Raw genomic sequence first — 27,235 nt, forward strand, 5'->3', positions numbered from 1 at the left:
TCTAACTTATTTGGCCCTTCTCAGGCATTAAGTCACCATTATAAGGTCAAAGGTAAGGCAGCAGCAGGCAGAGAAAAGAGTAGGAGGCAAGGAAAAATCAGCTGCTAAATAATGGCAAGCTGACTCCAAAGGAGAGCCTGGACAGAGTCTGAGCAAATTCCCTTGTTTAAAAAAAAAAAAAAAAAAAAGCAATGATTTAATCTTAGTACCCACTCGCTGTAGGTGGTAATGTTGATGCTGTTTTCAAGTGTCTTTACCTCCCTTGTGCTGTTTGACCTTCAACACCCAGGAAAAGGCAGAGCTGATTGAATACATCTTACAGGTGAGAAATGCGAGACTTACAGGTGTTCAGGGATTCATGCATCATGAGCTATTGATCGCGGGCCTTAAAATCTGTTCTTCTGACTCTCTGTCCAGTGTTTTTTTCTTTGGATATATAATCTTTTATCCTCCTCCCTCTCCTTTACTTGCCTCTCTTCCCCTCTTCTCTTCCCTCCCTCTTTCTCTCTCTCTCTCTTTCCTTACCTACAGTTGTTTTGTTTTTTTGTCCTTTCTCTTCTTCCTTCCTCTCCATGTGCTCCTCTCTGTTACTGTAACTTCTGCTTAAGAGGCCGAGAAGAGCACTATCAGAACTTAGCAGACAAGTGCCAGCATATCCATATACTGGTACTTAATAAAACAGAGTTTTGTTTTATGCAGTTTGCCTTTGGCTTAATATGAAGGAAAGGGGTGACGGCAAGAGACAAGTAAAGGCTGTGGATGATTTGTGTGAAATGAAGGCAGATTCTCTTTGAAGGGGTGGGTTGCCCCTCCACACCTGTGGGTGTTTCTCGTTAGGTGGAACGAGAGACTTGGAAAAGAAAAAGACACAAAGACAAAGTATAGAGAAAGAAATAAGGGGGCCCAGGGGACCAGCGTTCAGCATACGGAGGATCCCGCCAGCCTCTGAGTTCCCTTAGTATTTATTGATCATTTTTGGGTGTTTCTTAGAGAGGGGGATGTGGCAGGATCACAGGATAATAGTGGAGAGAAGGTCAGCAGATAAACACGTGAACCAAGGTCTCTGCATCATAGACAAGGTAAAGAATTAAGTGCTGTGCTTTAGATATGCATACACATAAACATCTCAATGCCTTACAGAGCAGTATTGTTGCCCGCATGTCCCACCTCCAGCCCTAAGGCGGTTTTTCCCTATCTCAGTAGATGGAACATACAATCGGGTTTTATACCGAGACATTCCATTGCCCAGGGACGGGCAGGAGACAGATGCCTTCCACTTGTCTCAACTGCAAAGAGGCATGCCTTCCTCTTATACTAATCCTCCTCAGCACAGACCCTTTATGGGTGTCCGGCTGGGGGACGGTCAGGTCTTTCCCTTCCCATGAGGCCATATTTCAGACTATCACATGGGGAGAAACCTTGGACAATACCTGGCTTTCCTAGGCAGAGGTCCCTGCGGCCTTCTGCAGTGTTTGTGTCCCTGGGTACTTGAGATTAGGGAGTGGTGATGACTCTTAAGGAGCATGCTGCCTTCAAGCATCTGTTTAACAAAGCACATCTTGCACCGCCCTTAATCCATTTAACCCTGAGTGGACACAGCACATGTTTCAGAGAGCACGGGGTTGGGGGTAAGGTTATAGATTAACAGCATCTCAAGGCAGAAGAATTTGTCTTAGTACAGAGCAAAATGGAGTCTCCTATGTCTACTTCTTTCTACACAGACACAGTAGCAATCTGATCTCTCTTTCTTTTCCCCACACTCTTTGGATCAGAGCATTCACCAGAGACAGAACTAGGAAATAGTAAAAGGCCTGCTTCATTCTCCAGGGTAACTAGTAGCTAGTACATATCTTTTGTTATTGTCGCTTTTCTGAAATGGGAGCCCTAAATCTTACCTCTATCATAATTGGATTTATTCCAAGATTTTAATTAAAAACCAATTTCCATAATCCTATTGTGTTTATAACCTCCCAGAAAAGTAGAGGAAGGAGGGGAAGACTATGGTTCCCTGACAATTAACTACAGGTTTAAAGCTATGACTAATCTTAACCGCACCATTTTCCTGCTATTTGAATTTGGACAATTTACTTTAATTTAGGGGGGTTCTCAATTTTCAATCTATAAAATGTCAATAATATAAAACCTTGGGAGACCTAACTCATAGGGTCATTGTAGATTTAAATGATGGATTTGACAGTGCTTTCTAATTTTTAAAGTGCTAAAATAAAGTTTTCATTTAAAGAGTTTTAAAAATCTATATTTACTTGTCGACTCTCCCATTTTTTTATTTTCAAAACTTATTTATTCTCAAAGCAAAATGTGTGGATATTTCATGTTTTAATTAAAAACCGGAGACTATTTTTAATTTCATTTACATATTGGAAAACAATACAGGGTGATTTGACAGGTACATCTCAGTAAATCCCAGTTTTTGATATTATTTATCATCTCAACCTATATTTTCTTTTCCTTTTTTTAAATTATACTTTAAGTTCTGGGATACATGTGCAGAATGTGCAGGTTTGTTACATAGGTATACATGTACCGTGGTGGTTTGCTGCATCCATCAACCCATCATCTACATTAGGTATTTCTCTTAATGCTATCCCTCCTCAGGCCCCTCACCCCCCAACTGGCCCTAGTGTGTGATGTTCCCCTCCCTGTTCCCATATGTTCTCATTATTCAACTCCCACTTGTGAGTGAACTCCCACTCATGTGGTGTTTGGAACCACTCATGGGAGTTCTCATATGAACTCCCACTTATGTGGTGTTTGGTTTTCTGTTCCTGTGTTAGTTTGCTGAGAATGATGGTTTCCAGCTTCATCCATGTGCCTGCAAAGGACATGAACTCATTCTTTTTGATGGCTGCATAGTAGTCCATGGTGTATGTGTGCCACATTTTCTTTAACCAGTCTGTCATTGATGGGCATTTGGGTTGGTTCCAAGTCTTTGCTATTGTAAATTGTGCTGCAGTAAACATACGTGTGCATGTGTCTTTATAGTCAAATGATTGATAATCCTTTGGGTGTATACCCAGTAGTGGGATTTCTGGGTCAAATGCTATTTCTAGTTCTAGATCCTTGAGAAATTGCCACACTGTCTTCCACAATGGTTGAACTAATTTACACTCTCACCAGCAATGTAAAAGCTTTCCTATTTCTCCACATCCTCTCCAGCATCTGTCGTTTCCTAACTTTTTAATGATCACAATTCTAACTGGCATGAGATGGTATTTCATTGTAGTTTTGATCTACGTTTCTCTAATGACCAGTGAAAATGAGCTTTTTTTCATATGTTTGTTGGCCGCATAAATGTCTTCTTTTGAAAAGTGTCTGTTTACATCCTTCACCCACTTTTTGATGGGGTTGTTCTTTTCTTGTAAATTTGTTTAAAGTCCTTGTAGATTCTGCACTTCTTGTGCTGTGCAGAAGCTCTTTAGTTTAATTAGATCCCATTTGTCAATTTTGGCTTTTGTTGCCATTGCTTTTGGTGTTTTAGTCATGAAGTCTTTGCCCATGCCTATGTCCTGAATGGTATTGCCTAGGTTTTCTTTTAGGATTTTTATGGTTTTAGGTCTTATGTTTAATTCTTTAATCCGTCTTGAGTTAATTTTTGTATGAAGTGTAAGGAAGGGGTCCAGTTTCAGTTTTCTGCATATGGCTAGCCATTTTTCCCAACACCACTTATTAAATAGGGAATCCTTTCCCCATTGCTTGTTTTTGTTAGGTTTGTCAAAGATTAGATGGCTGTAGATGTATGGTGTTATTTCTGAGGTCTCTGTTCTGTTTCATTGGTCTATATATTTGTTTTGGTACCAGTACCATGCTGTTTTGGTTACTGTAGCCTTGTAGTATAGTTTGAAGTCAGGTAGCATGATGCCTCCAGCTTTGTTCTTTTTGCTTAGGATTGTCTTGGCTATATGGGCTCATCTTTGGTTCCATATGAAACTTAATGTATTTTTTCCTAATTCTCTGAAGAAAGTCAATGGTAGCTTGATGAGGATAGCATTGAATCCATAAATTACTTTGGGCAGTACGGCCATTTTCACGATATTGATTCTTCCTATCCATGAGCATGGAATGTTTTTCCATTTGTTTGTGTCCTCTCTTATTTCCTTGAGCAGTGGTTTGTAGTTCTGCTTGAAGAAGTCCTTCATATCCTTTGTAAGTTGTATTCCTAGGTATTTTATTCTCTTTTGTAGCAATTGTGATTCAGAGTTTGCTCATGATTTGGCTCTCTGTATGTCTATTATTGGCGTATAGGAATGCTTGTGATTTTTGTACATTGATTTTGTATCCTGAGACTTTGCTGAAGTTGTTTATCAGCTTAAGGAGTTTTGGGGCTGAGAAGATGGGGTTTTCTAAATATACAGTCATGTCATTTACAAACAGAGATAATTTGACTTCCTCTCTTCATATTTGAATACCCTTTATTTATTTCTCTTGCCTGATTGCCCTGGCCAGAACTTCCAATACTATGTTGAATAGGAGTGGTGAGAGAGGGCATCCTTGTCCTGTGCTGGGTTTCAAAGGGAATGCTTCCAGCTTTTGCCCATTCAGTGTGATATTGGCTGTGGGTTTCTCATAAATAGCTCCTCTTATTTTGAGATATGTTCCATCAATACCTAGTTTATCGAGTGTTTTTAGCATGAAGCGGTGTTGAATTTTATCAAAGGCCTTTTCTGCATTTATTGAGATAATCATGTGGTTTTTGTCACTGGTTGTGCTTATGTAATGGATTACGTTTATTGATTTGCATATGTTGAACCAGACTTGCATCCCAGGGATGAAGCCAGCTTGATCATGGTGGATAATCTTTTTGATGTGCTGCTTGATTTGGTTTGCTAGCATTTTACTGAGGATTTTCACATCGATGTTCATCAGGGATATTGGCCTGAAATTTTCTTTTTTTCTTGTGCGTCTACCGGGTTTTGGTATCAGGATGATTCTGGTCTCATAAAATGAGTTAGGGAGAAGTCCGTATTTTTCTATTGTTTGGAATCGTTTCAGAAGGAATGGTACCAGCTCTTCTTTGTACCTCTGGTAGAATTCGGCTGTGAAGCCATCTGGTCCTGGGCTTTTTTTGGTCTGTAAGTCATTAATTACTGCCTCAATTTCAGAACTTGTTATTGGTCTATTCAGGAATTTGATTTCTTCCTGGTTTAGTCTTGGGAGGGTGTATGTGTCCAGGAATTTATCCATTTCTTCTAGATTTTCTAGTTTATTTGCATAGACGTGTTCATAGTATTCTCTGATGGTAGTTTGTATTTCTGTGGGATCAGTGGTGATCTCCCTTTTATCATTTTTTGTTTATTGTATTTATCATTCTTTATTAGTCTGGCTAGTGGTCTATCTATTATGTTAATCTTTTCCAAAAAAAACAGCTCCTGGATTCATTGATGTTTTAAAGGGTTTTTTGTGTCTCTATCTCCTTCAGTTCTGCTCTGATCTTAGTTATTTCTTGTCTTCTGCTAGCTTTTGAATTTGTTTGCTCTTGCTTCTCTAAGTCTTTTAATTGTGATGTTAGGGTGTTGATTTTAGATCTTTCCCACTTTGTCCTGTGGGCATTTAGTGCTATAAATTTCCTTCTACCTACTGCCTTAGCTGTGTCCCAGAGATTTTGGTATGTTGTGTCTTTGTTGTCATTGGTTTCAAAGAACTTATTTATTTCTGCCTTAATTTCATTATTTACCCAGTAGTCATTCAGGAGCAGATTGTTCAGTTTCCATGTAGTTGTGCAGTTTTGAGTGAGTTTATTAATCCTGAGTTCTAATTTGATTACACCGTGGTCTGACTGTTATGATTTCCGCTCTTTTGCATTTGCTGAGGAGTGTTGTTTTTCCAGCTATGTGGTCGATTTTAGAATAAATGCTAAGTGGTGCTGAGAAGAATGTATATACTGTTGATTTGGGGTGGAGAGTTCTGTAGATGTCTATTAGGTCTGCTTGGTCCAGAGCTGAGTTCAAGTCCTGAATATCCCTGTTAATTTTCTGTCTCGTTGATCTGTCTAATATTGACAGTGGGGCATTAAAGTCTCCCACTATTATTGTGTGGGAGTCTAAGTCTCTCTGTAGGTCTCTAAGAACTTGCTTTATGAATCTGGGTGCTCCTGTATTGGGTGCATATATATTTAGGATAGTTAGCTCTTCTTGTTGCATTGATCCCTTTACCATTATGTAATGCCCTTCTTTGTCTTTTTTTATCTTTGTTGGTTTAAAGTCTGTTTTATCAGAGACTAGGATTGCAACCGCTGCTTTCTTTGCTTTCCATTTGCTTGGAAAATCTTCCTCCATCCCTTTATTTTGAGCCTATGTGTGTCTTTGCAAGTGAGATGGGTGTCCTGAATACAGCATACTGATGGGTCTTGAATCTTTATCTAATTTGCCAATCTGTGACTTTTAATTGGAGAATTTAGACTTTTTACATTTAAGGTTAATATTGTTATGTGTGAATTTGATCCTGTCATTATAATGCTAGCTGGTTATTTTGCCCATTAGTTGATGCAGTTTCTTCATAGTGTCAATGGTCTTTACATTTTGGTTTGGTTTTGCAGTAGCTGCTACCAGTTTTTCCTTTCCATATTTAGTGCTTCCTTCAGGAGCTCTTGTAAGGCAGTTCTAGTGGTGACAAAATCTCTCAGCATTTGCTTGTCTGTAAAGGATTTTATTTCTCCTTTACTTAAGAAGCTTAGTTTGGCTGGATATGAAATTCTGGGTTGAAAATTCTTTTCTTTAAGAATGTTGAATGTTGGTCCCCACTCTCTTCTGGCTTGTAGGGTCTCTGCAGAGAGAGCCGCTGTTAGTCTGATGGGCTTCCCTTTGTGGGTAATCTGACCTTTCTCTCTGTCTGCCCTTAACAATTTTTCCTTCATTTCAACCTTGGTGAATCTGATGATTATGTGTGTTGGGGTTGCGCTTCTCGAGGAGTATCTCTGTGGTGTTCTCTGTATTTCCTGAATTTGACTGTTGGCCTGTCTTGCTAGGTTGGGGAAGTTCTTTAGGATAATATCCTGAAGTATGTTTTTCAACTTAGTTTCATTATTCCTGTCACTTTCATGTATACCAATCAAATGTAGATTTGGTCTTTTCACATAGTCCCATATTTCTTGGAGGCTTTGTTCATTTCTTTTCATCCTTTTTTCTCTAATCTTGTCTTTACACTTTATTTCATTAAGTTGATCTTCAATCTCTGATATCCTTTCTTCTGCTCAATTTGGCTATTGATACTTGTGTATGCTTCACAAGGTTCTCGTGCTATGTTTCTCAGCTCCATCAGGTCATTTATATTCTATAAACTGGTTAGTCTAGTTAGCAGTTCCTGTAGCCTTTTATCAAGGTTCTTAGCTTCTTTGCATTGGGTTAGAACATGCTCCTTTAGCTCGGAGGAGTTTGTTATTGCCTACCTTCTGAAGCCTACTTCTGTCAATTAGTCAAACTCATTCTCAGTCCAGTTTTGTTCCCTCGCTGTTGAGGAGTTGTGATCCTTTGGAGGAGAAGAGGCATTCTGGTTTTTGAAATTTTCAGCCTTTTTGTGCTGGTTTTTCCTCATCTTCATGGATTTATTTACCTTTGGTCTTTGCTGTTGGTGACCTTCAGATGGAGTTTTTGTGTGGTCATCCTTTTTTTTTTTATATTGATGTTACTCTTTCCTGTTTGTTAGTTTTCCTTCTAAGTCAGGCCCCTCTTCTGCAAGTCTCCTGGAGTTTGCTGGGGGTCCACTCCAGACCCTGTTTGCCTGGGTATCACCAGCAGAGGGTGCAGAACAGCTAAGATTGCTGCCTGCTCCTTCCTCTGGAAGCTTTGTCCCAGAGAGGCACCAACCAGATGCTAGCCAGAGCTCTTGTGTTTGAGGTGTCTGTTGACCCCTGCTGGACGTGTCTCCCCATCAGGAGGCATGGGGGTCAGGGACTGACTTGAGGAGGCAGTGTGTCCCTTGGCAGAGCTCAAGCACTGTGCTGGGAGATATGCTGCTCTCGTCAGAGCTGGCAGGCAGGAATGTTCAAGTCTGCTGAAACTGTGCCCACAGCCGCCCCTTCCCCCAGGTGCTCTGTCCCAGGCAGATGAAAGATTTATCTATAAGCCCCTGATTGGGGCTGCTGCCTTTCTTTCGGAGATGCCCTGCCCAGAGAGGAGGAATCTAGAGAGGCAGTCTGGCTACAGCAGTTTTGCGGCGCTGCAGTGGGCTCCATCCAGTCCGAACTTCCCAGTGGCTTTGTTTACACTGTGAGGGGAAAACTGCCTACTCAAGCCTTAGTAATGGTGGACGCCCCTCCCCCAACCAAGCTCAGTGTCCCAGGTCGACTTCAGACTGCTGTGTTGGCAGCGAGAATTTCAAGCCAGTGGATCTTAGCTTGCTGGGCTCCATGCGGGTGGGATCCACTGAGGAAGACCACTTGGCTCCCTGGCTTCAGCCCTCTTTCTAGAGTGAACAGTTCTGTCTTGCTGTGTTCCAGGGACCAATGGGGTATGAAAAAAACTCCTGCAGCTAGCTTGGTGTCTGCCCAGATGGCCTCCCAGTTTTGTGCTTGAAACCCAGGGCTCTGGTGGTGTAGGCACCTGAGAGAATCTCCTGGTCTGTGGGTTGTGAAGATCGTGGGGAAAGCGTAGTGTCTAGGCCAGAATGCACCATCCCTCATGGCACAGTCCTTCATGGCTTCCCTTGGCTAGGGGAGGGAGTTCCCTGACCCCTTGGGCTTCCCAGGTGAGGCGACACCCCACCCTGCTTCTGCTTGCCCTCTGTGGGCTGTACCCACTGTCTAATCAGTCCCAATGAGATGAACTGGGTACCTCAGTTGGAAATGCAGAAATCACCCCTTCTGTGTTGATCTTGCTGGGAGCTGCAGGCTGGAGCTATTCCTGTTCAGCCATCTTGCCCAGGAATCCCTTTTTTTTTTTTTTTTTTTTTTTACGAAGTCTTGCTCTGTTGCCCAGGCTGGAATGCAGTAGTGTGATCTCGGCTCACTGCAACCAACCCCCACCTCCTGGGTTCAAGTGACTCTCCTGCCTCAGCCTCCCAAGTAGCTGGGATTACAGGTGTCTGCCACCACACCCTGATAATTTTTTGTATTTTTGGTAGAGACGGGGTTTCAGCACGTTGGCCAGGCTGGTCTCAAACTCCTGATCTCAAGTGATCCACCCGCCTGGGCCTCCCAGACTGCTGGGATTATAGGTGCAAACCACCATGTCTGGCCTATTTGTTTTTTATGCCCATAAGAAACAACAGTGAAGGAACTGCAATTCTGAGTGGTTGAGTGACTTGTATGCAATCGTGGAAACAGATGATGGTAGCATCTGAAACATGAAATTCTCTGATTTCACCTCCTCCTCTGCCTTTGTCATGTGCCTAATTCTTACTTGTTCTCAAATGCATTGTAATTTTTGATGGTCACTAAGCCCCATTTCTTTCCCCATATTCTCATCTGAACTCTAATGAGGAGATAGAATATAGACAGTTTAAGGCTTAAAGACCTTGTTCTGAAGTCGGGCTGACAGGGAGTCAATCCAGATTTCCCTCTGGGTGACCTGGAGCAAGTTACTTAACAATCCATGCGTCGGTCTTCCCATTTGTAAACTGGAGGGAGGAGGGGAGGGTTGGATAATAGTATCTCTCTTATTGGTCTGTGTTGAGGGTTCCATGAGATAATATGGGTAAAATGCTTAGAAGAACATTTGGTATATAGTAAGCATTTGAATTACGCAAGCATCTTTAATAGTTTTGGTAGAAAGACCTTGGTTTAGGATTCAGGGACCTGGGTCCTGATACATTTTCCTGATATAAGTCCCCTCCCCTTGCTGAATCTCCTCTTGCTAAATTTCTAAAATCTCTAATTTTTCTTTGTATTGAATCCTATACCCTTGTAGTACTATATTAGTGTAGCAATTTTCCAAAAGCCATTCATCTTAGAGGGCTAAATGATTTTACCTTATCAATTCCTCCTGTGAAAAAATATCTCTAAAGAGGTTTTCTGCTGGAAAATATTGTTGCTGTCACATTGATATGCCAACAAAAGCTAAGCAGGGAGGTCAGGCCAAGAAATATCTCCCTGCAAGAGAAGGCATCGCACATGTATCTCTCCATGCTATTTAAATTTGCATTCTGCAACATAGAAGGGATAGGCCATGCTGCAGAAGCCAGGTCCAGGAAACTGCTTTCTTTGGCCTTTACACATCCTTTTGGAGAGATGCTGGTGAAAGCAGCAACTACCATCTGCCTCCTGTTGACTTAGTGTCAGCAGGTGGAGGGAGGAAGGAGGGCATCGCAGACATCATTCTATTATCTCAACCTTGCTTTCTCGGATCCAAAGGCCAAGAAGTTGCTGCTCCATGCCCTCAGAGCTCTAATTTGGCACCTCTTCCTGAAATGAGAGCTTGAAAGGGCTTCTGCTCTGGGTGAAACCGGCTCGTGGCCCGGGCCAATTCTGCTGGCTTCGCGTCTGTCAGTGTGTCCTAATCACTGTTATAAGTGTGGTTCTGCGGAACATCTTGTAAAATATTTTCCTATTGCTCCAGCAACATCTCCTGTCTAGACAATCTAATTATGAACACAGAGCAAATAGCTGAAGTGTATGCCGCCCCCAAGGGTTGCATAACTCCAGGAATGGGGCTAGGAAGACAGGGGAGGGAGGTGTGTGTGATGTTCATTACTTTTTTGTTGACCTGACCAGAAAATTGAGTGCTCCAAAAGAATCTGGCTAACTTTTAATTAAGAAGAAATGATCTGGTGGAAGCTGGCATTTTGTTGTTTTTCCAAAGTCAGTGGAGGATTAAAGGTACTGATGTGTTTCCCTCTAATCACGTCTTTTTCTTGGCTTCAGAGGTGGTTTGTGGTCTTTGCTTAAAAAAAAAAAAAGAAAAAAGCCATTGACTTAATAATCTGCCCTCCCAGCAGCATTTTGCAAACAGAAGGCAGCTCTTTTAACTGTATGTTCTTTCTAAGCAGTAATTTGATTACATTCAGAAAGTCCTTCCTAGGCTTGGCCATGTGGCAGCCATTGTGTACGACAGAGTGGCAAGACATAGCCTCTGCCACCAAGATGTTCACAGTCTCAATGCGATGCAAACGTATGCACACACATGCTTTAGCCCAAAGCAGGCTTTGGTTAGGGCTCCAGCAGAAAACCAACAGTGTCATGGGCACAGGAGAGGGAGAAAGAATTGCTACTGGGAGATATGGGAAGGTCTTAGGAAGAAGGTAGAATCTGAGGAGTTTATTACGGGATGAGCCAAACTTGGACAGAGAAATAGAGAAAGCAGGACAAGGGCAAGCATAAGCTAATGCCCAACTAGTGTGCTCATGTGAAGTCTCCCAGTTGTCTGGGCCCCAACTGTTGGGAAAATATGGTGAAAGTTTCTAAATGGTTTTGAATGATGGTATGAGGAGTTTGGGTTTCAGTCATATTAGGATATGAGATTATTGAAGGTTTTTGGGGAGGAGCCTGAAATGATTGACATTTTGCCTCAAAAAGATAAGAATGGTGACAATATAAGAGATAGTTTGGAGAAAAGAGAAGCTGGACAAAAGGGCCAGCTAAGGGAGAAATTCTGTCATAGTAGAGTTGGGAAATTCTAAGGATTTGAACTGGGCCAGTGGTTGGGAAAAAGAGAGCATGGGTCTGAGAAGACTTGGTATAAGTATAAGTATAAGTATAAGTATAAGTATAAGTATAAGTATAAGTATAAGACTTGGTAGAAGTATATGAAGTATACGTCTTTGAAATGACTGGATTGGGTTTTTTCTGGTGTGGGAGAGGAAGAGAAGAGGGACAGATAGTAAGCCTACCAGTGGAGGATGCACTTCATGCTCATTACTGGGGGTGCCTGAGAGGCTATGGGAAGAGAGGTCGGTTGAGACAAACTATTCACTCAAGTGTCATCTGTTGAGCACTTGCTTATGTGCCAGGTGCTGGGCTGGGCAGTATGATCCCATTGTGCTCAGAGAGTCAGATTTTCTGTTCTCATGGAGCTGACAGTCATGGGGCAAGCAGACAGTCATGAAATAATCATGTCTGATAAGTGTAAAATTACAAAAGTGGAAAGCACTTTGAAGGAGAGTTATATGGGGTGTGCGAATTATCAATTGCTATGTTTCAACTTACCTGAACACTTAGTAGTGTAAAATAAACATTTATTACTCTTCAGTTTGGGGGTCAGGAATATGGATATGGCCTAGCTGGGTCCTGCCACAGAGCTTCAATCAAAGTGTTGGGGCTGGGGGATGCTGTGGCATCTCAGGGCTTATCTGGGGGAAGATCACTTTCAAACTCACGCACACAGCTGTTGGCAGGCCCAGGGCCTTGCTGGCAGCTGGCCAGAGGTATCAGTTCCTTGCCATGTGGGCCTTTCCGTGAGGCTGCTGACAGCATGGCTGTGGACTTCCCTCAGAGATGGCAAGAGAGAGAGCAAGAGAGAGAATGAGACGTTGAGCAAAATAGAAGCCACAGATTTTGGTAACCTAATCCCAGGAATGACATCTCTGCACTTCTGCCACATTCTGTGTCATAGATGCAAGTCACTAAATCCAGCCCACACTCCTGGGGAGGCTCTTCCAGAAGGGCAGGAAGACTGGGAAGTAGGCATTATTAGAGGCTGCCTTAGGGCAAGCCTGCCACTTTCAGGATTTCAGCTTTTATGACAGAATTTTGACCAAAATTGCAGGGGGAAAGATCCAGAAAGACTTTTCTAAAGAAGAAATTTTGGTATTGTGATCAGAATGATGAGTAGGAGTTAAGGAGATGAAGGGGTTTATGGGGTGAATGTTTCAGGGAGAGAGAAGAACAGAGAGAGCTTGGTGCCTCCGAGGAACTGTAAATAGGCCAGCACAACTTGGACCTGCTAGATCCCAAGAACCTGAAGGACATCAAAGTGGAGATTAGTTTTGTATTTAGGTGTTGATGAGCTATGGCCATTTTGGAGGAGCTAGAATAATTCTGCTTTTATCTGTTGCTTGTGCTGGCATTCACTACAGTGTAAAGGGGTTCACAGTTAAAACTAGTTTGAAAGCACTTACTATAAACTGTGGGGACATCTCTGGAATTGCTGAGAAATGGGTTTGATTCAGTGTATAAAGTAAATAAAATTGCCCACTTATCTCTCAGGATAATTACTTATTGTGTAATGAGATAATACGCATAAATCACCTGGGGTTTCTTGGGGAATGGTATTATATAAACACAGGGCTTTATCAGTGATGCTGGAAAGATTTAAAGGATTAAAATCAGAAGTGCATCTTGATGCTATGGCATTTCACTCCAAACTAAGAGACGTGTGAAGGTTGCATGACTTCTTGAGAAGTATTTCAGTTTAAGAAATGGAGGCAGCAGGGTTATTGGGAGGTAGTTTGCTCAGGTATAGGCGTGGAGAGGCAGGGTAGGGGCTGGGAAATGCTCTCTTTTTAGCTCATTAGCTCTGATCAAGAATAGCTTCTACCCTTTTAATTCTGGTTAAGTGAGGGCAACTATTTAGAAATGCCATATGAAGTCTCCACCTCAACTGGAAATAAGAAAATTTGAATTCTTATCCCAATTCTCCCTCCAATTTGCTATGTCTTCTTGAGAAAGTTGTTTCCTTTCTCAGAGCCTCAGTTTACTCCTCTGTAACATGAAATGGGTTAAATTTGATGCCCTTTAAGTCTCTTCCCTTTCTTGGGTCAATGGTTAACCAAGATTTTATAACCTTCTTTCTAACTTTGCTCCATGAAACAAGAAAAATAAGAAGCCCTTGTCAGCAAGCAAGAAGTACAATGAGTTTTTGCTTTGGGAAAGTTTACTATTTGTACATGTATTTTATAGACCCAAGGGAAGGATGAAATGGGATATGGGAAGATAGACCAAAGTTGGTGTTTGATCTATTTTTCCAGGTTCAACTGACATATTCTTTTTCTTTCTCCTTTTTGTTCTCCTCCTACTCTTTTCCTTAGTTCAAATTTCCTGGATCCACCTATACAGTTCATATTTCTTTTTTTTTCATATCATTCCTCCTTTCACACTTTATTAAAAAGATTCAGCATGGTAGGAAGTGGGTTAAATTATTCTTCATTTAGGTGTGTCTGACTACTAGAGTTTTTTTTCCAATGAAGTGTTCATTTCACCAAAAAGATTTTTTAAGAAAACACAAAGCACAGCAATTTTTATTAGATAGGAGGTAAGGTGAGAAGTTATTGAACAAGGGCCTAGGTTGTTGTCTTCCTAAACAGTAACTCCCTGATTTCTTATCCCTTCCTTCCCCAAATATTCAGTCAGTAAATAATATAAAATCCCACAGTATTTTTCTTCTTCAAATGAATCATTATTTTTAGAAATATTTCTGCAATTCATAACATTCAGCATAAGAATCCCTGGGTGCAACTGAAATCCAAGAAAAATTGTAAACAGTGCTAGATCACCCAGCATGAAGATAAGCACAGGGGTAAGACAACAGCAAAACATGGCCAGCAAATAGTGAGGAAAGTTGAATCTTAAAGTACTTATTCAAAAATTTGAAATGTATGAATCTAGAAAGAAGCCATTTGAATTTTGACATTCATGAAAGTGTTCTGCTTTGTGGTTTGGTGTGGTTGGTATTTTGATTTGTATATGAATAAGGAGGAAGGCCATAATCTTTAACAGTGTTCGGAGTCACAGGATCTTAGTATGGTTGTCAATGTGAGTTGTGGAACTGGTAGTAAAGGGAGTCCCCTCTTCTGAAGAGTGGCATTGAGCTAGAGTCATCACATGATGGGCCTGTCTTCTCCTTCCACTTAGGCAAGAAGCATCAACCTGGACCTTCTCTGTAGAGTGTTTACAGGCATGAATTTAAAAAACCCGATTTTCTTTTTCTACCTTTCCGCTTCTACATGACAATCCTGTAAATTCTGTCTCTACAACTTAAATTTTGTCCTCAAACTAGGGGAAGTGTCTGCTAAATTCTAATGGCATGGTGTTGGCTTCCAGTAACATTCTCCCATCTCTCCTTCTCATAGGATCCCTTAGTTATTGGGGGAAGCCACACACCTATCTGAAACACTAAATAGCTCAGGCTGCCTTGAATCTAAGTCTGTCCATTTGACTAAGTTCTGGCAAGTTAAAGGCTAGCAGAATAAATGGGACTGCTTAAAAGACTCCTTAAAAGGCAAGGAAGCACTTTCCTCCATTCCTTCCTACTCCCCCTCCTTCTGTCTGTCATGTGGATGTAATACTACAGCCACCATCGTGAACTGTGGATCTGAGGACCAAAACTAGGGATGGCAGAGTGGGGAGCGGGAAGGAATGTGGCTTTCTAGTGACTTTGTGGAGCTGCCTTCCACTCCTGTACTGTTCACATTTGGCCTTCTTCTACCAAGACAAGAGATGCGCAGTTCATCATTAGATGGGACTTTTATTTTATTTGCAGCCAAACCTAGTCCTAACTAGTACCTCCATTGAATAGGAGAAGGGTTCCTGCCAACTCCCAAAGACCGAGAATGATAAGGGTTGCAGTTTCATTTGGTGTAATGTTCATGTTGTTTAGAAGTCCACGGGCCATGGTTCCAATCCCAGACTTGTCACTTAATGGCTTTGCTACCGAATTATTTGGAGGCTCATATACTAATTTGTAAAATAGAATTAATATCTACCCCACGGAGTTGTGGGATTAAATGAGAACACATGAGAAGTGCCAAACTGGTGACTGCCATAGGTGTTCCAAATGTATTAGCTTCCTTTTACTTTCCAATTTGCTTTGCTTTGCTTTTATTAGGAAGATGTCAGTTCCTCTATGTGTATTATTTAAGGTGTTACAAAATGTTAATAGGCAGCTATATCCTGAGAAGCTAGTGAGTCAGAGTGGGGCAGTCAGAACTACAGTCTGTACTGTAAGTTCAACAGAAAAGGAGTGTTCATCATTCACTCAACTCAAGGCCTGTTACTCTGTGACAAACTAACGGAGAGCTGGAGCCAGTTTTCTGGTGGGAATAGGGACATGATGAGTTGGTGTAAGAGAGCCAAAGCCTTAATAATGGGAGACAGGAGATCCGTTTTTGTGATCAAGAAAGCACATGTGAAAATGCTCATAGGAACAAGATGGTATCTCACAATTCAGGCCAAGCTGAAGGCATGTATAAGATGGGATGACTCTGCAAGTATACAAAACAGTGACCTTAAACCCCATAAATGGCTCCCTAAAACACCTATGGTTATATTTTGTATTATTATTGACCATCAGAAGCTGGTTTTAGAGCAAAGCATAACTTATAACTAAGAATATTAGGTAATTGATATTCCTTGATCTTTCTAGTTACAAAGTTGTTTCAGCTATTTCATATAGTTACCGTCATTATGCATTTTCCTTGTGTTTTTTTTTTCCCCTTTATGCTAACTTGGATATTGCTGCACCCAGATCTTGGAAAGGTTAAGTTGAGATAGTTTTAATTTGGTGATTCAACAAATGGAGGACAATGGTCTAGTTGTCTCTATAGGGAAAGAGAGATAAAATACAGTTATGTATCACACAAAGTTTTGGTCACAGACCACATATATGATGGCAGTCCCACAAAATTATATCATATTTTACTGTACCCTATGTTTAGATGTATTTAGATATACAAAAACTTACCACTGTGTTATAATTGACTTCAATATTCAGTACAGTAACATGCTGTTACATGTTTATAGCATAGGAGCAATATACTCTATACCATATAGCCTAGGTTTGTAGTAGGCTATACCATCTAGCCTTGTGTAGGGTGTCCAAAAGTAGCCTTGACAAAATAGCCTAATGACATATTTCTAAGATGTATTTCTTTTGTTAAGTGATGCATGACTTTATACATTGGCCTTGCCCTCAAATAGCTTGAGATCTAATTGGGAACTAAGAGGGTAAATATATAGAAAACTAATTTTCATATAAAGCATAATCTGACAAAGCCCAAAATAAAGATGTAAGCAACATATTGTGAGAGCATAGACAAGGCAATCGTTTTTAGTGGTGGGAACTGTTGCTAAAGAGACAACAGAATGAAGAATTTTGGTAGAGAGTTATAAAGTGGCTCATAAACTGGAGGAAGAGTATGACAAAAAGAATGATATGAAAGTGTGAAAAGTTGTTTAAGTAATCATGACTAGTCTCCTGGGTGACTGGAAAATAGAGACAGTAGTGGAAGAGAGGAGAACATGCTCATGGACAGTGTTGAATGGTAAGATAGGAGGTTTTATTTATTTTGATTGACCAACTGACATCATAAAGATTTCAGAGCATGAAGGCTTATCTTTGTGTCCTTATAGCCTATAGCACAACATTAGTATATGGCAGGCACATTGCTGTATGTGAATGGTGAGTAAATGATTAGAACAGGGAGCGGTATGTGGGATGAATTGGAGCACTGAGAAAAGTGTGATCAGGTCTTGGAGTCAGTCCTGGTAAAAGGTGTTGGATGCCTGATCTTGGTGTGGAAATGAGAGGTTACATATAAGATTCTGAATATCACCCTCTTGTGGACAATACTGATTAATGGTCTTGGAATTCAATGGAGGGAAGTCACTTGGATGGAGATAAATTCTGAAAAGAGAATTGCCTTGGAGCTTATGGACTTACCATCCTCAGCAAGGATCAAGTTACATCACATGCTGTGATGAACAGGGCAGCAGGCGAGGATTTTGTCATGTACACTCTTGACTTCGCCTTTGGGTATCTGTGCCAAGAATGCCCGGGGTTTGATTTTTGGGTGCGGTGCTGTCCACTCACTCTAATGCCCAGGGAGGCATGTTGACAAGGATGGGTGGCTGATGGGGGATTGCTGAGCTATTTCTTGGCAAATCTCCGTGGGGAGGCGTTCCCCAAATACCACAATCCTGTTATTTTTGAGTAATGGACTGAACCCAGGTGCCTGATTGGACAGGGCCACTCCCCATTTCTTCCAGATAAATATTTGGTTGCCAGGAGGTTATATTTAAATGAGAAATACCTCCTTAGGAAGTTGTTGCCTAAGAATTCCTGCAGAGGGCAGGATCCCATCCCTGCTGGGGAATGCCTGAGAAGGGCGCCAAAATTTATCCTGTACTCACTATGATACATTTAGTGTGATGGCACCCACTTTGAGGTTCTATAATAGTTTGTATCTCTGAATGACAAGAAAGCTCATCAATGCTAGAGATGTTGCATTTCTTCTAGGGAAGGGCTCCTAGTCTTTAGCGTCGTAATAGCAAGATCCTGAAACGCAGATGGAATGTATGTCAGAGATTTGGCTTTTATGAAAGGAAGGAATCAGTTCTCCAAAAAAGAGCTGAATCTTTTCTGGAACCTGAAGCACCGAGTACAGAATCTAGGAAGCTAGAGACTTTGGATCTTTCAGGCTTTAGGGTGCTCTTTGTTCTCGCTACTTGTGAACATTGAATGTTGGCTTTTCAAGCCTTGTCAATTTAGCATGTGTATTTTCTCTATGACGAGAACCCTCTTATTTCATACATTTTCCTCCAGAAAATGGGATATTAAGACTCAACAATTAAATTTCTAACTCTTTGGGCATCATCTGTCTTTAGAAATACAAGAGTTAACATCCTGAGGTTTTTTTTTTTCTTTTTTTCTTTTTAAAAAAGAACAAAACAAGAGCTAAAGCACACAGAAAAAAAAGGCACAAGGCAAAACATAAGCAGAAAAGACTATCACTAACTTTCTTGGTGAAAGTTCAATGTTTTGGGTACTCCAGTAAAAATCCATCCTAAACATACATTTTCCATAACAATGTGTGGTCTCAAGGTCGTAAACTGTGACTCTCTGTCTCCATGATTTTCTAAATCTTCTTTTAATCACCAGCCATATATTATTTTGTTTTCGTTTTTCACTTTTTGAATCCTTTTGCATTAGGAGTTGTAATAATATTTGCTGATGTGGATCACTTCATAGAGGGGAGACCTTACTTAGGTGCGCCAGTTTAAATACAAGTGAGAAGAGGCATGTTCAAGAAATTGTATTGAGTCCCGGAGCTGTGCAGGGTGTATTTCCTGAGAACTCATCTGGAGGAATGGCATGTGTGCTGGGGATACTTGGCAGAGGATTTGTTTCTTCTGATTCATTGCAGAAAAAAAAACCCTGTTAATTATGATGTGTTTAGAGCCTTCCAAGATGCTATAAATATAATTCAAGAAATAAAAGTAGGTGAGAAGAAATACAAGCTTTTGGAGCTACAAGGGATTTTTCAGCGTTTGCTTTAATCTCCCTCATTTTACAGTGGTCTTAGGGGACTGTGGTCAAGAATTCCATGGCAAAGCTGAGAGTAAGACTTAAAGATGGGTAAACAGCTAAGGAGTTTTTTCATTGACCTAAATTTACAAATTCTAGCATTTTTTGGTTTTGTTCTTTTTATGTCACCAGGAAAAAGGAACATGCTCTGTGGAAACATGGAGGAAATGGAGCATTGGTTGAGTAGATATAGAGTTTTGACTTTTCATAAACAGGCTCCCTGACGTTGGCTATCTTTTCTCTTCTCTGGATCTTCTTCTTCTTCTTCTTCTTCTTCTTCTTCTTCTTCTTCTTTTTTGTCTGTAGAGTAACGAGAGCACAAACTAGCTATGTTGTTCAAAGTCCGATCTTCAGAAATAAAATTTGATAATTTAAAATTGCTTTCTGGCTACTTTTAAGAAAAATAATAATAACATGCTGAAGAGAGAAAAAAAAAAAAGGTCCAGGTGGTTTTACAGAAATTATACCATATTGGAGGGAACATGCCTGGATATCCGTGTCAGGAATTTTGAATTAGATCTCATCCCGGCATTGAACTCCTCATGCCTTTGTAAATTGTTGTGGATGAGGAAAAGGCTTTCAAATTGCTTCTGAGATTTCAAATACATTCTACTTGTCTGAAATCCATGCAGTTCCCTTGGGCAGTTGCTGGGTGGCAGCAGAAGTGCTCCAGTGGTAGACTGTGGAACCTCAGAATGGCAGTGCTGGAGGCTGCAGTGTTCCCAGGCTCAGTCAGCACTGAATGTGGAGCCCAGGTCCCCACGCCAGTGAGGCATGCAGCTGGAATGGCTGGTAGGGCTAGGGTTGGCAGGCAGGGAGATCCTTTCTTTCCCACTGTTTGTCACTGGCCATGTGAAAAAAGTGGTTAATACAGTAGCCACTACAATGCATTAAATAGCCACTGTGGATGAGACACTGTATTCGGCTCTTTAAATATGTCATTGTGACTTCAAATATCATCACTATCGGGTGCCATTATGTCCATTTGCAGCTGAGGAAACTGAAGCAGAGAAAGATTAACAAACATCCTGAAGGCCACAAAGCTAGCCAGTGCTTTACCTGAGATGAAACACAGATCCGTATGACATTGAAACATGTTTTTTCCTACCATGAGACTACTCAAAATAATGATAATAATAATAATAAAGCCAGCAGCAAAAATCTAAATCTCATTTCTATTTTTATGCTCATGATACGTTAGCATCCTGGAATCTGCAAGGGCTTTGCTTGCTCATTATTTGATTGGGTACACACACAAACACACACACACTTTCATAGTGAAGGCAGGAGAGTGGTTGACTTTTGATTTTAAAAAGGAAGAAACTGAGGCCCACTAGAATGTGAAGTCACTTTACTAAAGTCCTTGGGAAATGACGGTAGAGCTGGGTTTCTTTATTCCTAGGTGAGGTAGGGCGTTTTCTACTGTAACACAGTGCCTTGAAGGGATGGGTTGCTTTAGACGAATACATGGGCAATCTTATAAAATCAGTTGGCTCAAAGGTAGAGAAACAGCCCACCTGAGTGCAGAGTTGAGATGGCCTCTATTCACATGATGGCCTTTGTCTGTCAGCACTAGTTGACTCCTGCCTGTGTTTATGATGATGCCTGTCTCATCTGCAGCTGTTTGCAGAGTCTTGCATATAGTATATGTCTAACTTAAGCTTGCCCACATGCACATAAAGGAACTGTGAATATGTTGTTTCTTTACTGAAGGCCCTCAGTGGGTGCCAACATTCAGACAAATCTTGATAAATGTGCCATAGCAGAAAATAGAAAAGAAAGTAATCTAGATATTTTGGGTATTGTGCATGCGTAAGTTTTACATTGTTTATTTTTGGATAGAATTTACACAAGAACTTCTTCTCAAGTCTTGAATATTTGCATCAGAGGAACTTCTAGAACTAGAAAAGACCTTAGAGAGTTTCTAAGACCCAAAGAGGGAAAGTGACTTATGTAAAGTTAAACACATTTACAGAGACATGGACGACTGAGGTATCCTGATCTTTTGGGGAAAAGCATGTGCTTGGGAACCAAACAAGTGTGGATTTGAATCCCGATTCTCATTTACTTGTGTACTTGTGGTATGATGACATGTTAACTTCTCCGTAGCTCTAAGTCCGATCTCATCTGTAAAAATAGAGATAAAAAGCAACTACTTTGCTTGGTATCTGGTCAGTCTAAAAGAGTGGGTATATCGAAAAGCCTAATGTGGTGTTTGTGCACTCTGCCTTTCCTATACGCGCTGATGCCCCAATCCATTTGTTTTGGATTCTAATGAAATCATGTGTTTTATAGTTTACAGCACAGATGTCCCACATGATATAGGAGTACAACTTAGTTCTTGATGGGAAAAACACAGTGCAATCAATCCCTTTATAATTTATTCATGTCATCGTTTAACCATGTTATAGCATGCTTTTCCCATATGTAATGCAAGCATCTATTATTATATTTGGGATCTGCTTTGACTTGTATTCCTGAACCTGTATAATTAAGTGTTATATTATAGTGGGCTTCACAGCATTGGGTAATGAAAAGAATTCTGGCCTTGTAATCAGCAGAATTTTGTGCCAACTCTGCCAGGACTGGCTGTGTGATTCTAGATGAGTTTCCTTTTGAGGCCTCAGTATGATAGTTCAGGTGAGCTATAAGTTTCTGATGAGCTTTCAGATTTAATTTGTGTGTATTTTTTTTTCCTACTAATATACATCGAGACTGTTGCTTATTGTGTCTGTAAAGTGCTTCTCAGGAAATCTGGGCAAGTCTCGTTCTTCAAATCAGCTCAGTAGTAGAAGATTAAGCTGACTTCCCAACCACAGACTTCTTCTGCCAAGTCTCTTCTCTTCTCTTCTTTCTTTCTTTATCTTTCTCTCTCTCTCTTTCCTTCCTTCGTTTCTTTCTTCCTTCCTTTCTTTCCTTTCTTTCTTTCTCTTTCTTTCTTTCTTTCTCCTTCCTTCCTTCCTTCCTTCCTTCCTTCCTTCCTTCGTTCCTTCCTTCCTTCCTTCCTTCCCTCTCTTTCTTTTCTACAAAGGCTCAATACTAAATAGGATCAGTAGGTCCACTAGGCAGCTCAGACAAGGATAGACATTTATAAAGTACTCCAAGCTACAGAAAGGTGGTGCTAGAGACTCTTCTATTTCTGATGGGGTCTGGGGTCTGTAATGGAATAGCCATAGATTACTAAAGAGTAGACCATCCAAAGCAGGCATTTTCTCTCCAGTGATCCTGACAAGTGGTTATCCAGCCTCTGAAGGCTTCTGGTGAAAGAGAATCCACTGCTTCCTGCTCGGCCTCTCTGACTCTGGTAGAATCTAGTTAGAATGTGTTGAGGGAAAATCAGCTCCTCTAATCAGCTCCTCTTGAAGCTGTCACTTGTTGGTCCTAGTATTTTATTCTGTAGCTATACAGAATCAAGAATCTATTTATTAATTCAACTACTATTTACTTCCTATTACTTGTCAAACACTCCAGAGCTAACATTTTTCTTTTTAAGGGCTTACTGTATGGCTGGAGAGGTAGAAAAGTAAAATCTCAATTCCAGTATGATGTGGCAAGTGCTGCTGGAGTTAAACATGGAAAACTGTGGCCATGCAGAGAAATGCACCTCACTCAGATGAGGAGGCAGGGAAAATACTGCAGAGAGTTTGAAAATCAAAAGTTTTTATGTCCTTCATTCCCATCCTCACTAGGCTAACTGTGCTTAGAGTATGCGACAGGCAGTGTGACAGGAAGTTGTAGACTCAGGAAACTTGAGTTCTAATCCCAGTTTTGCTGATATTGTCCCTACGTAACATTGGACAAGTTTAATTTATTAGCCATAGTAGAGAATGCAAATAGCATCCTGTCATGTTATTTAGTCTTTGGAATTTCCAAAAAAGCAGTGAATGCACTCATTTGATAGCTCTGGCCCAGTATTTCCTCCTTTATTTCTCCTCATCCCTGGTTGGCCTGGAGTTGAAAATCAGTGCTTTATTCTCCCTGTGTCTGGGCTTTCTCATGTCTCACTCTACCCCTCTTCCAAGCCATAGGCCTATATTGGTCTGTCCCTTAGCTTGTGCCTGAAATGTTCTCAACAATCATTAAATGAAAAGCATGCTTACAGAAACCCACAGAAATTGTGAATGTACACAGGCACATTGGAAGTTGCCCCCAGGTATGTTGCCATTGACCAGGACAACAAAGATGACTAAGGGAGTGTCTGCCCACTCCTATGTGGAAATAATGTTGTATTTGTCTGGAAGCCAGTGAAAAAATTATGTTGAATGGCCTCATGACAGGCTATTTTGTACCCCAACTGTCTTAATACCTCAAATTCTTTATCTTTTAACTTCTCGGAACCCAGATTTTTTTTTTTTTCACTGATCCATGGAGTGATTTTTAGAAAAAGGCTAATGACCCTGACCTCAGAGTCTGATGAGCCTGTGAGAAATGGGATAGGCATTACTCCCACCTACTTCAGCTAAGCTCTGATAATTTTCTTAGAGCTAAAATGAAATGAAAATTTTGGCTGAGTGGGTTATCTCACTATCATTGGAGGGAAATCTCTTAACGATGGAATATGCAATCTAGTCTCTAGGTCCAGTTACATAAAATATTATTTTTCCTGGATTGGGAAAAATGTAATTGCCGTTTGTTCAGCCTGTTTGGATAAAATTTTACAGTCAAAGCCACTCTTTCTTGGGAGTTTTTATATTGTACAGAACTTAAATAAGAACTTAGACTAAAAGGGACGGTGACTTCCCTGATTTTTGGGATTTGAATGACTCTTGTGTGTAGTAGGGTGAGTAGTAATCGAGGGTAGGGCCCAGATAGTAGCACTGAGACTTCTCTGTGACTCTGGTATCAGAGCACAGAATTTCTAATGTACTTTCAGTAAACTTTGACCACTGATTCAAATTTTTGCAAAATAATCTCCAGGATTTGCTACCTTCTCTCTTTTCCCTAGACTGAAAAAGGTGAGGCTTGTCCCTCAACTTGGAAATAGGTATTTCTTACCAATTTAAAAACATTTGAAGATAATCAATTAATTTTGATAACATTTAAAAGCATATGAACAGTTAATTCCCACCTTAAATTGAATTTTGACCTGTGCTTTTTTTTTCTTATAAAAATAAATAATAAACAAGAATCACTAAGTTTTCCCAAGGGCATTTCTTGATAATGTAATGAGTGTGTGTGTGTGTGTGTGTGTGTGTGTGTGTGTGTGTGTGTGTATGAAGTCATTATTGACTAACAATTGTAATCCACAAAACCATGCATTCATCAAATATTTATTGAGGTTAAGGCACTGCATGTATTTATGTCTTCTGATTGCTCTAAGTAGAAGGGAACAGAATCACCTGCAGTGAAGTCTGAGGCCTTTTTCTTTTTAGCTGAACTTCAAATCAATCTTCTACTTGACAACTTGACTTAAACAACAAACAGCATACATACAGTGTTATTTCAATACAGATCCAAACAATCTTAATAGAATAACCATGCAATGAGCATGAATATGTGTACATCCCTGTTTTAGATGTTTTAGTCATATAGAGCCAAGCAACACAGTTCCTGCTATAACTACTACATGCTCTAGTAGCAAGGATAAGTCAAGTATATATACAGCTATATTATAAGGTGCAATAAGGATATGCCAGTGGAGACGAATTGACAATAAAGAGAATTCATACAGTTGTGACTGCATCTGGGCAACACAAAGGAAATAGTATAAGACGAGACCTTTGGAAGATAGTAACAGGTGGGAAGTTGGGATGTGAAGAAAGGGTTAGAGGGAAAGGCTATTCCAGGGAGAAGGTATAGCAAGAATAAAGCCATATGGTCAGGAAAGAAATTCAGAGAACAATCAGCAGATGTGGTTTTGCTTGAATATAATGAAGGTATTGTGGATGTGATAAAGTTAGAGATTGGGGCAAATAGGAGAGGCTTTGAATGCCAGTGTAAAATGTTTGTATTTTCTTGGTGGCAATAAAGCTACTGTTGTATTTTAAATAGGGAAATGCATCCATTTTAAATGAGGAAGGGCATCCAATTGTTATTTCACACACACAAACACACACAGATTTTGCCATGCCCTCTATAGGTCCATCACTATGTAAACTGTTGAGGATTCAAAGAAAATAGACAATCTCATACCTCAAAGTCTTCAGTGGGGAAGAGAGGCAAATACAATAATTTTCATAAGTATTGTAGGGATATCTTGTTCAGACACCTAGGGGAATCATAGAAAGCTTCTTAAAGGAAGTGAACCTTAAGCATTGGTTGGTTAAGGGCTTTCTAGATGCAAAAAAAATGAGAAGTGCTACTCCAATAAGACTCTTGAAACAGTATATGTGATGATAACACAAGGAACACTGAGAGGGGAAGGCAAGGTAAGGAGGGTGTGAAGGGAGGCCAGTGAAGAGGCTGCCACGATAGAATTGGTAAGAGGGAATGAAAGGCTGAGCGATGGAAATGGCTGTGAAGATGAAGAGGTGGTGGCCCCCATGGATGTGGCACAACAGCAGATCTTGATTTGGTGCTGGAAGTAGGGGGTTGTGGTTGGAATTGCAGAAGTGGAAGAGCATTTTAAAAAAGTTAAAATGGATAAGACTGGAATTCTGAAGGGGGAAGAAGGATGTCATTAGTAGGCATGTGGCAGTCAGGAGAAGCTGGTTTCAAAGGAATTGTGTGAAATTTAGTGTTGAGTGACTACTAGAAAGCAGAATAGGCAACTTCCCATAAAATTGAGTTGTGAGCAAAAATTCTTGGGCTCTGATGTCATGGTTTTCCTCCTTTTTTTCTCCTGGAAAATTCCAAGTCATAAGACAAGTGCCCAAATATTGCCTCAAGCATGCTTTAAAGTACTGATGTCTAAGGGATTTCATTTTAGGAAAAGCTTAATAGATCATGTGTATTAATCATAAAGTGTAAAAACAAGACATTGTTAACAATCCCTAGTCTCTTCCTTGGCTTGGCTCATGGCTGTTCTAAATAATACCTTGGGATTATTTATGATGACAGGTTTGGCATTCTGCTTGGAACATATACATGCCCCCTTAAGCAAGCTGCTTCCTTGGGAAGAGACCAAGAGAGGCAGGGTTTTTCGAAACACCTAATTTTCATTTCTTCCTCCTTTCTTTTTTTTTTAGTTAGTGGATAAAATGAGTGATTACTGGACAACGTATATATTTTTTAATGACTCCAGATGCTTTCGGGATGAATCATAGTAGCCTCCTCTCTTTGCCTCCTTGTTACTTCATTTCTAACTCCATTTCTGTCTCCACTATAATTGCAGCACTGGGTGAGACGCTGCTCGAGGAGGAATTAGCTGAACTGTGGTGGTTTGGCAACAGAAAGATAGAGGAAGTAACATGGAACAGGAGGTCTGTGAGAAATGTGCAGCCATGTGGCTTTCTGCCCAACCAAGGCAGCTTTCCCTACAATCCCCAGCCCTCCAAGGGCTTTTAAAGCATTGAGTGTGTGATGGGGGTAAGTCCGTATGCTGCACTTACTCCAAACATAATTATCAAGCTATAAAGGAGACACCTTAAACACACACATACGCACACAACACCTCATACCATAAGATCCCAGGGGAATTTCAAAACCACATACATATTTCAAAAAACAGTAAATTCAAAATAAAGAGAGGAATTGATTTGGGTGGTCTGATAGTTTGGTGGAAAAAATGCAGTCAATAAGATTAAGAATCAGAATAAATACAGCTCTATGCTATTAGAAAAAAGCTTCATTTTTTAAAATGTGTTTTTTCATTTTTGATTCAAGTCTTACCAAATCAAAATGTGTCACTCATCAGATGTTTGCAGTGAACACGTTTGGACAGTATACAGAATAGAGAAGATTAAATCAAAGTTTAACGTCTTGAAGTGCTGAAAGTCAATTAATTAATTAGAAAGATAATTGTTGGAATTATGTATAGGCAACTTAAATCCAAAAAAGAAAATTAATATATTAAGGAGCATGAGAAGCATCAATCCATGAATTCAAATGTATTTTACAGCTTTACGAGTCCAATCCCACATTGTTGGAATCACTATTATGTTAGCTGG

The 27,235-nt window shown here is 40.4% G+C and overlaps 1 protein-coding gene across 22 annotated transcripts in view, besides 1 other annotated feature; it reads left to right on the forward strand.

The window, feature by feature from the left end:
* TPRG1 (tumor protein p63 regulated 1) overlaps positions 1 to 27,235 on the forward strand; it is a 328,078-nt gene that overhangs the window by 253,353 nt on the left and 47,490 nt on the right. The window lies entirely within an intron of this gene.
* Positions 22,356 to 22,545: an enhancer, noted in NCBI's record as "active region_20977". NCBI's record gives its function as "activates an Ori minimal core promoter by ATAC-STARR-seq in GM12878 lymphoblastoid cells {active_cell/tissue: GM12878}" and the evidence as "EXISTENCE:reporter gene assay evidence [ECO:0000049][PMID:35858748]".

Source organism: Homo sapiens, chromosome 3 (genome assembly GCF_000001405.40).
Source record: "Homo sapiens chromosome 3, GRCh38.p14 Primary Assembly".
NCBI classification, from domain to species: Eukaryota; Metazoa; Chordata; class Mammalia; order Primates; family Hominidae; genus Homo; species Homo sapiens.